Genomic DNA, 15,566 nt, shown 5'->3' on the forward strand with positions numbered 1-15,566 from the left:
CTCAAAGTCTTTTCAGACCACTAAGCAGGAAGCGTGTGCTGTTAGCCATAATGTGGCTGCAATAAGAATGATAGTTTTGGGTCAGCTAACAGTATGTTATGGATGAATGTGGCTCCTTTCATCTCTCTGAATCTTGGCTTTGTTGTCTGTAAAATCAAGCAGGGGTGGGATTGAATGATAGCCGAGGTCTTTATTAGTTTGTTACTGGCTTCAACAGAGTTGGGAAGCCTCAAGCCACATGAACCTTTCTCAGAACTGCTTCTCAGGACACCTTAGGGTAGCTGAGTGATTACAAAAAGCATCTGAACTATGTGCAGATGCCTTGGAATAGAAGCAGGGGATCTGGAAAGGCTGTTCCCCAAGGTCTCTGCAGTCAGCCATGCACTTAGATTTGACTACAGACAAAACAGATGTATTCAAAAAATTGAATGGCATGTTTTACCTAAATGGTAGGGGTTAGGGAAGATAGCTTCTTAATGGGTCTTTGTGCCATGTCTCTTTATTCCTTATGATTAGTACAGCTGAATCCTGATTCTCTTTCCTTTTCCTTGTCTTCCTTCCCTCTCTTCCTGTCTCTCTTTTTTTCTCCCTCCCTCTCTCATTGCTCATTTTTTTCCTTTTCTTCCTTTCTTGCCACTCTAACAGGCTGAGAACAGGACTTTTAGGAGCTAGCTTTCCAGAAGTGATATAGTTACATTGCCTTATCTGGATTTCCAGAGCGCATTTCTCCTCATGTGCTTTTTCGCAAGAGAGAGAACATAACATAAGCCCCTAATCCTTTCAAATATGTTAAAGAGAACAATGCTGTGATTGAAGCAAGGAGACTGGGATTTGACTCTCGTGTCTTCCTCTTACCTACTATTTGTATGGCTATTGAAGAAGTCACTGAATAGATTTCATTATATCTAAAATGTGAGTATAATCCTCATTGAACTCTTAGGATTTCATTAACACTGAAATTCTATTGAAAAACAGTTTTTAAACTGATATACCATGGAAATTATTTTTTCATGTGCCTAGGTAGGTTTGTTTTCTTTCTTCTCTCTGTAATTCCAGAGTTGTTATAATGTGTCTTTCTCTCATGCTAGACTCTAAATTCATTGAGAGAGGACCTTGTTTTATTCACCTTTTAAGTTTTAATTAATAAGCCTATAGAACCTATAAAATGAGTCAGCATTTAGTAGGGTCTTATGTGTACTAATGTGTCTGAAGGCATGTACACATAAATTTAACTAATTTTTATTTTACTTATGATTCTGTCCAGTTTTTAATACAATATTAAAACCTGAGGAAAGCAGAATATTTAACTTTGTTATTATAGTTGATTAAATACTTTACTGTCTTTTTGCATATTCAATTATCTGTAGCTTGTGCAGTCTTGTAAGACACTGGTTGTGGTACTCACTCATTCATTCTTAATCCATTCATCTATCCAACCAATAGTTATTTTCCCCATTAACTGTCCTCTGAATTGTGCTAGGCACAAAACAGATGTAAACTCTGACATCATGAAGCTTATAGTCAATGGAGGAGAAGGCAATAAAATAAGTAAACACAAATGAATATGTAATGGCAAAGTGATATAAGTGTTAGGGAGAGCATCCGGTTTCAAGTGAATGAGAATAACAGTGTCACCCACTCTAGAATGGATATATTTAAATTCTTTGAGGAAGTGGCACTGAAGCTAAGAGAGATCTACTCTTGACGATGATTAGTTCTTGGCTAGACAAAACCAAACCAAACCAAAACAACACAACGGATGAAGAGTGGATCAGACATGTTACATGGTACATACAGATGGAGTATCCCTTATCCAAAATTCTTGGAACCAAAATCCTTTGAATATTTTCAGAATATATACCAGTTGAGCAGCCCTAATTTGAAATCCAGAATCCACAACCCAGAATGCTCCAACGAGCATCTCCTTTGAGCATCATGTCGGTGCTCAAAACGTTTCAGATTTTGGAGCATTTTGGATTTCAGATTTTCAGATCAATGCTCAACCTATATAATGCTCAACCTGTATAAAGGCCCTGAGGTAGGAAAGAGCCATGAGGACTCAAAGAATTGAAAGGTAAGCATGAGGAATAGTGGCATGAGGGACGGTGATGCTGTTCATAGTGCCCAATTCCCCAAATGTTTTATTCCCTTACTAAATTACTCCGTTGTAGTTGCTTTTTTTGGTGTTTCATTTTTCAACATCCTCATATGCCTCCTTTCTTGGTAACAGCTTTATTGAGATATAATTTACATATCATACAGTTCAACCATTTAAAGCATACAATTTAGTGGTCGTTAGTATATTCACAGAGTTGTGCACCCATCACTACAATCAATTTTAGAACAACTTCATCGCTATTCTCTTTAGCTGTCACCCCTAAATCCCTCCATTCCCGATGCCCTAGGAAACCACTAATGTACTTTTTCCCCATTTATCTATTTTGGATATTTCATATACATGGAATTATATAATTTGTGATCTTTTGTGTCATGCCTCTTTTAACAATTTTCTATTGCATGTTCATCTGCTTTTCATCTTTGCTCCCAAGTTACCGCAGTTATGGACTTTTTTTTGCCTTCAGTGTGCTACCTTGTTCCAGTGAAGTTATTTCTCTTTTTGTTTCCCTACACCATTAGCAATGTCCAAACTTCGAAGAGTTTCCATATTGCTAAATGAAGTCATAAAATTTATATTAATGAAAAGTTGTCTTTCTAGTTTCTTATAATCGAGTGTTTAGAAATCTTTACAAATCACCAGTTGGTTATTTTTCTGTTGCTCAAATTTGTGCTCTTTCACCTAAAAGAATTAGGAATCCAAATGAGATTTTGTACTATAATAGACAAATTGCACAAAGCTTCCATCCACCTCTAAATAAAAGGAGAACTTCGTCAGCATACATTTTGACATTTTAGATGGTATGTGTAAAGAACACATACGTACCCAAATCTCTTCCAGTGATTTCTCAAAAGGTGAGCTCTCTGCTTTAAAAATAGAACATTGATGATTCAGTGCCCAATATTTGTTAGTATGAACTTAAAAAATATTGATTGATTGATAACTAATAGCAAAATTTGGTTGTTGGGTAGATATCTGCAGTCTGCTGAAAATCAAAATGTTATGGTTAAAGAACGAGTTTAGTAGCACTAATCAGAATTCCTTGGTTTCTTGGGAAATTAGGGGGTTGCTGCTTTACTACCAAAGAAAAGGAATTAAGAAGTATTAATAATCTTCATTTGTTTTTGGCTAGACAACTTGTGGGATGCAGTAGGGGGTAGAGTGTATACATACTATTAAACTATCTTCTGAAATAAATTGTAGAGGGCATTTTTTGAAGGCAGAAAAGGAAGAGTCAGTGTGTTTCCTAAGCCAAAGCTTTGGTCATTGTCACTACTCCCTTTCTGTTAAGCAAAGGACAGAAACTCTGATGTTACGAACAAGAGAGGAGGGTGAAGGTGAGGCGGTGAGAGCCTCAGTGCTAGCAAAGGGTTTTAGACGCACACTCCCTCATGGAGAGCAGATCTAGTCAGGCAGTCATGTTCACACATCTTTGGTCTTTGCACTCTGAGCAATACAAAATTTAAGAATTATGGTTGGAATTATAGATAATTGGGAGTCAAAATTTAAGACACCTTCTTCCCCAATATGTTTTAGGCAAAGAAGAGGCTGGCGTCAAGTATTTAAGAGCTATTTTAGCTAATGGCAACAGATAGATTATGGAGAATCACTGCTTGTTCTGTGGGCCAGGTGGTAATTACAGACTTAGAGATATAAGAGTTGAATGTGTTCCATTCTCTAACACCTTCACACGCCTCTTTTTGAAATTCTCTATTGCGTGTTCATTTACTTCCCTCCCTTTGCTCCCAAGTCACAGCAATTAAGGGCTTTTTCTTCCCTTCATTGTGCCAGTGTGTCCCAGTGATGTTATTTCTCTTTTCTTCAGACAATGAGTAGCTTCCAAAATCCATGATGATCTCCAAATTACTAACTACAGAAGTCAAATGGAACTACATTCAAGGTGTTTAGAAACTCTCATAAGATTGTAATAATATGAAGAATAATAGGTAAAATATTTTGTCATATCTGAATATATTCAAAAGTTGTGATTGAAGTCTTTTTTTCTTTTTGTTTTTGTTTGTTTGTTTTTAAGAGACAGGGCCTTTGTCTCACTCTGGTGCCCAGGTTAAAGTGCAGCGGGTGATCACAGCTTATTGCAGCCTCCAACTTCTGGGCTCAAATGATCTTCCTGCCTCAGCCTCCTGAGTAGCTGAAACCGCAGGCACATACTACCACACCTGGCTTTGATTGAAGTTTTTAGCCTCCTTTTTGTGGGATCCAAAAACATTCCTTTCTGCATTATGTGGAAGAAATTAATAATTTTCAAAAAAGACAGCATGTTCCTTCAACTAAGTTTATTCAGAAAATGGCCTGTATTCATTAAAAGACCTTGGCTGAGTTCTTTGGACCTGTGAGGCCTTAGTTTTATTGTCAGTAAAATAAAGAGTTGGGCCTAGATTGGTTTTTAGTAAGGTGATTGGTGCAAGACCTTTTCAAATGATATTGTTTCTTTATATCAGAATCCCAATGTGCCCTGCTCCCCCTTCCCTAAATAAAGTGACTTATTTTTTATTTGATTTTACTTTTGTATAGCACCCTAAGGTTAACAGTCTTTCAAAATAACTCTCAGAATTAAATCAACTGGCTGTGAACTTTGGGCCCTGTCCTAACTGAGTCCTCTGGTCTTTAATGTAGCTGAAACTGCTCACCATGGAAACAGCTGATAGCAGTGGTCTGTTTGTCAAGGAAAGCAAATCTTGATTCAGACTTCTTCCCACCCTCAGCTCACCATCCTTAGCTTCTGTCACAAATTGCATTGGAAAATACATTGGAAAAACACAAAAACACAGAAATATGAACTCTGGCTCAAAATAGAACAAATTCCACAAAAATTGCCCATGGCATATCAGTAAAATACAGGATTAATCACAAAAAATAATTATAGTCTTTGGACATATCAGAATCTCATAATATATTTAGAACTGTTCATTCCTCTTATCACCCTCTTAAGAAAAAAAAATCCACTGAGCATTTAGTTAAGCAGTGGTGATATTCTAGATGACATGTGAGAAGACTTGTCAAATATCCATGACTTGAAACTAAAAACAGCATGACTTCTTGTCATTTTAGGGAGACTTAGGAGCTAAGTCTGGTAGCTTTGGCATCAGCTTATTTTTAGCAGTGTGTGATGTCTGTTTTTCCTGGTTATTATCCCTGGGCTCAATTTTGCAATTATAGGATGCACATGTTATTCAGCAGATATGAACGTTTTCACTTAGCAAACTGTGTACGTGAACACCTTTTTAAATGACTTAATGGGCTCGAGTTTTGTTGGTTGTTTTGCATTTAAAATGGCACTTGAGACAGATAACCAAAAGCATAAAATGGAAAAAGTGATTATTGTAGAAAAATGGGAAAGCAACATGTTTCTGTAAATGCTTTCGTGTCGCTTACTCAGAGAAACACCATTTGACTATTGGAAGTTGCTATGGGAAGCATGCAACATTTCCATGGCGTTACATTTTACTTTCTTATTTGCTTGCTTGCAGTTATTCTTTAAAAATATCTATATCTATATATCTGTGTGTGAATATACACGCGTGCACACACACACACACACACACACACATCTCTAGCCTTTCATCCATCTATTTTTTTTTTTTTTAATGTGTCTGAGCACCACTTCTTAGGCAAGGTCAACACAGTAAAACTCAGCTTTGATTATAATGTTCACCCTCCTGGAATTGGTCCATTACAACCATTGTGTGAATAACCTTGTAGAAGTTTCCTGTAAATGTGTTGGCTCCTTGGCACCATAGTGTTCTCAGCGTTCATACTGTGGGACTGCTTTAAAGTTCAACTCCCCTTAGCAAGAGCCTTGGTATTTCAGAGACTAAATTATCTTGTGGCTGAGTAATGCCAAGTATATACCTGCTTTATTCCTAATTCTGCTGGATAGCATATTATTTTTTATTAATGTCATGGCATATATTAGTTATTATTCAAGGACTGCTAGGGAAAGAAATGAGCCATTGGATGACCATATAAATTCCTCTATAACTCTGATAGATCAAGACCAATGGAGCTAGTGCTTAATTTCCACCATTAACTGTACTGTCATTATCAAAATTCATGGATTGAATATACATAGTTTAGAAATTCTCACGCATGACTCTGTTTGAAGCAGTAGTAACTTCATATGAATTTTTAAAGGCAGAAATTAGTTACAAGGACTGCATAAAAGGAAAAAAGCAGATCAGTTGTAAGTTATCAACATAGTGAACAACATTATTACTCATTCTTAAGCACTAGGTGTGATTCTAAATCAGCTTTCTGTTTCTAGTTCTCACCCTCATCTCCATGCCCGTTCTTACCCTCACCCAAATAATATTTGACTGATACCAGAAATATTCTTCTCTCTTTATTTGCTACATTAGGGATTTCAGAGGGAATTCTTTTCATCCAGGAAAAAGAAAATCAGGCCAGTTTTGAGGAACTAAAAATAAAGCTATGCAAAATTGTTTTCAAAGTGGAATTCATTGCCATTTGTTTTTATGCATGACAATCCTTTAGAATATAGCATTGAATCAAACTATGATTCTGACTTCAATGATTTTTATAGTCAGTTTACGAATATTCACTATAGATTTTCTTATATATGGTTTGTATCTAAACAGATCTAATTTAAATCCTGGAAGCATGATAGTAATAGTAGTAATGGTAGTGATATAATGAGTTCATCATATGTGACAGACTGTGATAAATTATTTTACATCTATTTTCTCCTTAAGTTCTCACTACCTTTTTCAAGTGGATACTGTTCACCCCATTTAAAATGTAATGAAGTAGGAAATGTCTTACTATTTTGACAAAAATACAAAATCCTCTTAGGAAGATAATTGTGTTTGTTTGCAAAAATTTCTTTCTTTTTTTTTTTTTTTTAAAAAGGTAGTATTTACCATATTCTTTTTTTTTTCTTTTTTTTATTATACTTTAAGTTTTAGGATACATGTGCACATTGTGCAGGTTAGTTACATATGTATACATGTGCCATGCTGGTGCGCTGCACCCACTAACTCGTCATCTAGCATTAGGTATATCTCCCAATGCTATCCCTCCCCCCTCCCCCCACCCCACAACTGTCCCCAGAGTGTGATATTCCCCTTCCTGTGTCCATGTGATCTCATTGTTCAATTCCCACCTATGAGTGAGAATATGCGGTGTTTGGTTTTTTGTTCTTGCGATAGTTTACTGAGAATGATGATTTCCAATTTCATCCATGTCCCTACAAAGGACATGAACTCATCATTTTTTATGGCTGCATAGTATTCCATGGTGTATATGTGCCACAGTTTCTTAATCCAGTCTATCATTGTTGGACATTTGGGTTGGTTCCAAGTCTTTGCTATTGTGAATAATGCCACAATAAACATACGTGTGCATGTGTCTTTATAGCAGCATGACTTATAGTCCTTTGGGTATATACCCAGTAATGGGATGGCTGGGTCAAATGGTATTTCCAGTTCTAGATCCCTGAGGAATCACCACACTGACTTCGACAATGGTTGAACTAGTTTACAGTCCCACCAACAGTGTAAAAGTGTTCCTATTTCTCCACATCCTCTCCAGCACCTGTTGTTTCCTGACTTTTTAATGATTGCCATTCTAACTGGTGTGAGATGGTATCTCATTGTGGTTTTGATTTGCATTTCTCTGATGGCCAGTGATGATGAGCATTTTTTCATGTGTTTTTTGGCTGTATAAATGTCTTCTTTTGAGAAGTGTCTGTTCATGTCCTTCACCCACTTTTTGATGGGGTTGTTTGTTTTTTTCTTGTAAATTTGTTTGAGTTCATTGTAGATTCTGGATATTAGCCCTTTGTCAGATGAGTAGGTTGCGAAAATTTTCTCCCATTTTGTAGGTTGCCTGTTCACTCTGATGGTAGTTTCTTCTGCTGTGCAGAAGCTCTTGAGTTTAATTAGATCCCATTTGTCAATTTTGTCCTTTGTTGCCATTGCTTTTGGTGTTTTAGACATGAAGTCCTTGCCCATGCCTGTGTCCTGAATGGTAATGCCTAGGTTTTCTTCTAGGGTTTTTATGGTTTTAGGTCTAACGTTTAAGTCTTTAATCCATCTTGAATTGATTTTTGTATAAGGTGGAAGGAAGGGATCCAGTTTCAGCTTTCTACATATGGCTAGCCAATTTTCCCAACACCATTTATTAAATAGGGAATCCTTTCCCCATTGCTTGTTTTTCTCAGGTTTGTCAAAGATCAGATAGCTGTAGATATGCGGTGTTATTTCTGAGGGCTCTGTTGTGTTCCATTGATCTATATCTCTGTTTTGGTACCAGTACCATGCTGTTTTGGTTACTGTAGCCTTGTAGTATAGTTTGAAGTCAGGTAGCGTGATGCCTCCAGCTTTGTTCTTTTGGCTTAGGATTGACTTGGCGATGCGGGCTCTTTTTTGGTTCCATATGAACTTTAAAGTAGTTTTTTCCAATTCTGTGAAGAAAGGCATTGGTAGCTGGATGGGGATGGCATTGAATCTGTAAATTACCTTGGGCAGTATGGCCATTTTCACGATATTGATTCTTCCTATCCATGAGCATGGAATGTTCTTCCATTTGTTTGTATCCTCTTTTATTTCCTTGAGCAGTGGTTTGTAGTTCTCCTTGAAGAGGTCCTTCACATCCCTTGTAAGTTGGATTCCTAGGTATTTTATTCTCTTTGAAGCAATTGTGAATGGGAGTTCACTCATGATTTGGCTCTCTGTTTGTCTGTTATTGGTGTATAGGAATGCTTGTGATTTTTGTACATTGATTTTGTATCCTGAGACTTTGCTGAAGTTGCTTATCAGCTTAAGGAGATTTTGGGCTGAGACAATGGGGTTTTCTAGATATACAATCATGTCATCTGCAAACAGGGACAATTTGACTTCCTCTTTTCCTAATTGAATACCCTTTATTTCCTTCTCCTGCCTAATTGCCCTGGCCAGAACTTCCAACAGTATGTTGAATAGGAGTGGTGAGAGAGGGCATCCCTGTCTTATGCCAGTTTTCAAAGGGAATGCTTCCAGTTTTTGCCCATTCAGTATGTTATTGGCTGTGGGTTTGTCATAGATAGCTCTTATTATTTTGAAATACATCCCATCATTACCTAATTTATTGAGAGATTTTAGCATGAAGGGTTGTTGAATTTTGTCAAAGGCCTTTTCTGCATCTATTGAGATAATCATGTGGTTTTTGTCTTTGGCTCTGTTTATATGCTGGATTACATTTATTGATTTGCGTATATTGAACCAGCCTTGCATCCCAGGGATGAAGCCCACTTGATCATGGTGGATAAGCTTTTTGATGTGCTGCTGGATTCGTTTTGCCAGTATTTTATTGAGAATTTTTGCATCAATGTTCATCAAGGATATTGGTCTAAAATTCTCTTTTTTGGTTGTGTCTCTGCCCGGCTTTGGAATCAGAATGATGCTGGCCTCATAAAATGAGTTAGGAAGGATTCCCTCTTTTTCTATTGATCGGAATAGTTTCAGAAGGAATGGTACCAGTTCCTCCTTGTACCTCTGGTAGAATTTGGCTGTGAATCCATCTGGTCCTGGACTCTTTTTGGTTGGTAAGCTATTGATTATTGCCACAATTTCAGATCCTGTTATTGGTCTATTCAGAGATTCAACTTCTTCCTGGTTTAGTCTTGGGAGAGTGTATGTGTTGAGGAAGTTATGCATTAGTACTAGATTTTCTAGTTTATTTGCATAGAGGTGTTTGTAGTATTCTGTGATGGTAGTTTGTATTTCTGTGGGATCGGTGATGATATCCCCTTTATCATTTTTTATTGCATCTATTTGATTCTTCTCTCTTTTTTTCTTTATTAGTCTTGCTAGTGGTCTATCAATTTTGTTGATCCTTTCAAAAAACCAGCTCCTGGATTCATTCTTTGTAAGGGTTCTAAGGAGACCATGAGCCCTGATCTATTAATACCTGTGTGCCTCCCTCTCCCTCTCTCCTTGCAAGGACATCTTCTGCTGGTGCCAAGACATCAGAATGAGATCTAGATTGCAAATGGTGTAAGAAGGGTTTAGAACTCCTGGTTTTAGGAGATGGAGGGAGTGTGGAATAGAGATGAGAGGGAGAGAAAGAAATGGAGCCAAATAGCAAGATGGTGGGAAGCTGTAGTGAGAGAGAGAGAGAGGTGTGTGTGTGTGTGTGTGTGTGTGTGTGTGTGTGTGCACATGCTCATTTAGTTATTTGGGTTTTGGCTCAAGTGGATACAGTGCTGGAGAGAGCCCAAGAAGCAGAGTGGGGCAGGCTGCAACCTTTCTAGGAACTCCTTTGGACATGCACCAGCCAAAAAATTAGGGGCTCAAGTCTATTTCATTAAGAATCTAGGTTGGCAGGGAAATGCCCAGGGACATCGCTCACATCACAGTGTAAGAAATTGAGAAAAAATGCTCTCCTGAAGTCATTCAATTAATCAGGGGCAAGGATGGAATGCAAAGCCAAGTCTCTCAATTCAGAGTACTGGATTCTCTTTATTATACCTTCCTGGCACTCTAGAATAATGATTCTAGCATGAGACATGGTAATCTCAACAAATAAATGCTATGATTATGTTTATGCTTACTAGCAGTTCTAGTAATCTTCCATTTCTAAACTTGGTAGTCAGGTAATCAGATGTGTTAAAATTTTCTTTTAAATGATTCATTCTAGACAGTGGAAAGTATGCTTAAGAATATTAAATATTTAATTTTATTGGGTATCACCATCATATAATTATAATCTGGACTTTTTTTTTTTTTTTTTTTTTTGAGACAGGCTCTTGCTCTGTTGCCCAGGCTGCAGTGCAGTGGCACAATCTTGGCTCACTGCAGCCTTGACCTCCTGGGCTCAAGCTATCCTCCTGCCTCAGCCTTTCAAGTAGCTGGTACTGCAGGCATGTGTCACCACGACTGGCTAATTTTTGTTATTTTTTGTAGAGATGGGGTTTTGTCATGTTGCCCAGGCTGGTCTGGAACTCCTGAGCTCAAGCAGTCCTCCTGTCTTGGCCTCCCAAAGTGTTGGGACTACAGGTGTGAGCCACTGTGCCTGGCCCTGGACTTCTTATGACACTTTATTTTATCCTGTGGCACCAAGTAATTATGATGCTTTACTTATAATCTATACACACTACGTTTGCTATTCCTTTTTTCCGTGTCAGGGAAAAGTAAAGTGGCAAGTTTTACAAACTGTTTTGTAATATGTTGGACTGTATGAGACACCTCTAGTAGGCTGAATAATGGCACCCCATAAAATATCCACCTTCTAATCCTTGGCATCTGTGAATGTTACCTCATATGGCCAAAAAGGATTTTGCAAATATGGTTAAGGCAGGGAGATTACTCTGATTATTCTGTATTGTCCAGGTGGGCCCTAAATGCAGTCACATGTATCTTATAAAGAGGGAGACAGAGGGGTATTTAATACGTACAGAAGGGAAGAAGGCAATGCGATCATGAAAGCAAAGACTGGGCAGCCTCCGGAAGTTAGAGTCTTCAAGGAATGAATTATCTCCTAGAGCCTCTGGGGGAGAACAGCCCCGCCAACACCTTGATTTTGGCCCAGGAAAACTGATGTGGGACTTCTGTCCTCCAGAACTGTGAGAGCATACATTCTGTTGTTCTGTGGCACAACGGTTGTGGTCATTTGTTATGGCAGCCACAAGAAATGAATACAACACTGTGGAGAAGTGTAAGCCCATAAGCAACCTCAGTCCATGATGAAAGCCATGGCTAGATGTAGGTGTTTTCCCCCAAAGCCAGGGTACTCATTACTCAAATAAAATTCATATCTTCCCAAAATGAAATCTGCAAACATCCCGGGACCCTTCTACCTGGGAAAGGACCTTCTGATAGGAAAACAGTGACAGCATATTAATCTACTGCTTGGGGAATTCTTGGCAACAGGGATATGGCCTCCATCCCATGGGAGACAGAACTGGCAAAAGAAGAAATTGTGGATATTGTTGTATTTTTTAAAGATGGAAACATCTGCATAAAAGTTATTGTACAGGGTTTTCTCTTTGAGCCCACAAAAACAAGAAAAAAAATACTGTCTTCCACCGAACTTTAAAAAAGTCACTCTTAGACTAGATCCAGATTTTATCCCATCTCTTATTATTTTACTTCAAATAAGCAAAATTAGGAAACTGTCAATACTTTGTATTATGTAGGAAAAATTGTTATACATTATGCTTAGGCTATTGATTAGTGAATATTTTCTTTTTAGCTGTGCAGTTACTATATCCATCTAATTATGATAACAGATTTTTAAAATAAGTTATTGGTTGGTATGCAGTATTTGAAAGAATGAAATTAACCTTTTCCTTTCATTATCAAGGATTTTAACTTACATGCCTATGTCACTGAACATACACATATATAGAATACATATATACACTGAATATATATATATATTCTGTTTTTTATTTGAAGTTCTTTAGTAATAAAATATCACCTTAAAAACAAAGCAATTTCTTTGACACAGCATTTAATTTGGAGGTCACTCATATTTTAAATGGGGAGCCAAACTTTAAAGTTTTTTTTTTTTTTTTAAAGAGAGTGTCTACAATAGAATTTGACTTCCCATGCCTTCATAAAGCTAAAATTCTCAATGAGCAGCATTTTTATTTAGGATAAACTGGCCTCTATGAAAACAAGCATCTTCAGCTTTTGAGAAGTTGTGTGCCCTGATTAGCAAGCAAGCCACACTAGACTTTAAAATTGAACTGAGGGCCCTGCTGAAGCACAGCTTCTATTGTTCTGTAATGAGTGTTTTGCAGAGTCCTTTCAAAAGTAAACTGTATTGTTCCCTTGCTAGTTTCAGTACATCTGAATGAGGTGATTATGTTCCTTAAAAAGCACTTTCAGGACTGCAGAAAAATTATCTACTTTAAAAAACATTTTTTCCCTTTATCTGGTGATAAATTTTAAAACCTTGAACATTTCATGAGCATCCTGGCAAGAGGTTTAAAATTATCTGGAAATCCTGCCTTTGATCCAAGGTGCAGAGAGTCTAAAAACCCATCAGAGCCTATAGGCAGGTCTCTGCTGCCTGAGCTGCTGCTTGAGCAGGAAATTTTGCATAGTAAATACTTTAAAACTTTGGTATTCAGAGAGCAATATTAAATCTAGGTGAGGACTAACATCTCTGAATAGAGCAAAATTTCATGATGCCAGGGTACTTGTATAGCTATTGACAGCCTAGTTTTTCAAATAAAATTTTAAACTGCTGGGGCACTTGGAGTCCATTTGTATTTTTCTGATGCAATGTCCGTGGGGCTTTCAGAATAGCGGGGACACGGGTGGGATTGGAGCTCTTTTTTTTAACCTCTTTTCATTTCCACATGTCTGTTATTCTTAGTGACTTGTATCATTTCCGTATTACCAAGTTGAAACAGCCACAATCTTGGCCCTGCTGTCAATAAATTTGTTGAATTATTTATTCATTTCATTTATTTATTTATTTCAATAAATAATGTCTTAGAGCAGGACCAAGACTGTGGCTTTATAGATTTGAAATATTTTAGGGAAAGCAGAGTTTACAATAAAGGAGGCAAATATTGGATTGGATCTAGAATACCCTATCAGTTCATTGAATCATAATTTCCCCACATAAAACCTTGGGTTCTTAATTTATCGAATTGACCCTAGTCCTTTATTGTGTCAGGACTTTTTTCCTAAATCCTAATTGAGTGACAAGTTCTATTTGAAGAATTCCAGCACTTCACCACTCTGTGTGTAGATGAGTTATTTTTCTGTCTCCTAGAGAGTATAGAGCAAGGCTACAAAGAGCCTGTACCCCAAGGGTCTCCTGCATTTTCCGATGCCCCTAAGCATATTTTAGGTGATATAGAAAGGATTAGACATGTCTTAATTTGGCCCAAATAAGTAACTTAATTTGGCCCAATGAAACAACCCTTGAAATACGTTGTGTTTCCAAAACAATCAGTAAGAGGAGAGTGATCCCCCAGGGAGCCCCTCACTTCTCCTGCTCATCCTTCTGTCCCCCCAGTGGCAATTTTCATTCTTATCCCTGAGGTTCTTCTCCCTATTAAAAAAATACACGTTTGAAGATGAAATATACTGGATTCTTGTGCAGTGCCATGACGTCTTATGGAGACATCTGTTCTGTTGTTACTGGGATGAAGTGAACGTCACCACATGGAACTTTGTTGTGCCTCCCTCACCATGCAAGGGAATTAGAGTTTTGTTAATTCCCTAGTTGTTTCTCTGCTTTAATCAGAGGGACAACTGGTCAGAGAGTTTTGTCCTTCCTGGGACCAGCTCATTTTAGGCCATTCTAATGACTTTGCAGCTTGCCCTTGGGCCCAGGCCTTTGATTTCAGGTGGCCCATAGGGCTGCAGACTTTTACTTCCCTTGAAATGAACAGCTCCATCATCCATCCTCCTAGAGGACGTGGCGGGTCAAGACTATTCAGCTTCACGTTCACAACTTCTGCCTCCTCCTCTCCCTGCTCCCAAGTGTGTGGCGTAAACCGATAGCAGCCACCATTATATGATGCTGAGGGAGCCTCCTTCCTTATAACCTTCCGTTGTAACAGCTGCATCCACAGAAACCCTGGACTTAGTTGTGAGATATATTCAGTCCCTCCAGGGCAGGGGATGTCCTTCAGTTCCATCCTTGGATCCCTAGTTTTGAATCACTTTTGATTTATAGTAACCTGGGTGAGATGCTTCCAAAACTCCATCCCCTGCTGCTTCATCACCTAAATGTGACACTAGGGCAAAGATCTCCCCCTGCTTTTGTAAACTGGTCTATCCTGTGCACCTACGCCTATTGTCAAATTAATAAATCTCTATAATGGCATATTTGTATTTTGTAGGAATTGCTGATAGTAATTCTTTTCAGAACCTGGAAGAACATTCTTCAAAGAAATCAGGAAATTAAGTTATATTACTTGTTAATTCTTACCACACAACTGACTACATTAAGACATTTTTAAAAAAGCTCTATGCGTATGATGCTTTTGGTCAGTCTGATTATGAAAATGGTATGTTTTAGAAGAAGTTCTATTTATTGACAGGGTGGAGGCAGAAGCTGTTTTTATATTACCATGTCATGTTTTTAAGTATGTAAATAAGATGAATTGCTGCTATGATCAAGTAAAAATTAAAAGCAATGTAATAAATTCATAGAGAGTGAGTGTTTCTTGGGAGGCCGAGGCAGGCAGATCACAAGGTCAGAAGTTTGAGAACAGCCTGACTAACATGGTGAAACCTCGTATCTACTAAAAATACAAAAATTAGCTAGGCGTGGTGGCGGGCACCTGTAATCCCAGCTACTCAGGAGGTTGAGGCAGGAGAATTGCTTGAACTCAGGAGGCAGGAGGCGGAGGTTGCAGTGAGCCACGATCGCACCATTACACTCTAGCCTGGGTGACAGAGCGAGACTCCATCTCAAAAAAAAAAAAAAGAGTGTCTCTTTTTATTTTACCTATTAATTTGGT

The 15,566-nt window shown here is 37.9% G+C and overlaps 1 protein-coding gene across 7 annotated transcripts in view, besides 1 other annotated feature; it reads left to right on the forward strand.

The window, feature by feature from the left end:
- HDAC9 (histone deacetylase 9) overlaps window positions 1-15,566 on the forward strand; it is a 915,592-nt gene that overhangs the window by 41,450 nt on the left and 858,576 nt on the right. The gene's annotated exons all lie outside the window — the stretch shown is intronic.
- Window positions 5,339-5,539: a silencer, noted in NCBI's record as "peak6414 fragment used in MPRA reporter construct". NCBI's record gives its function as "represses an SCP1 promoter by STARR-seq MPRAs in K562 erythroleukemia cells {active_cell/tissue: K562}" and the evidence as "EXISTENCE:reporter gene assay evidence [ECO:0000049][PMID:32103011]".

Source organism: Homo sapiens, chromosome 7, assembly GCF_000001405.40.
Source record: "Homo sapiens chromosome 7, GRCh38.p14 Primary Assembly".
NCBI lineage: Eukaryota > Metazoa > Chordata > Mammalia > Primates > Hominidae > Homo > Homo sapiens.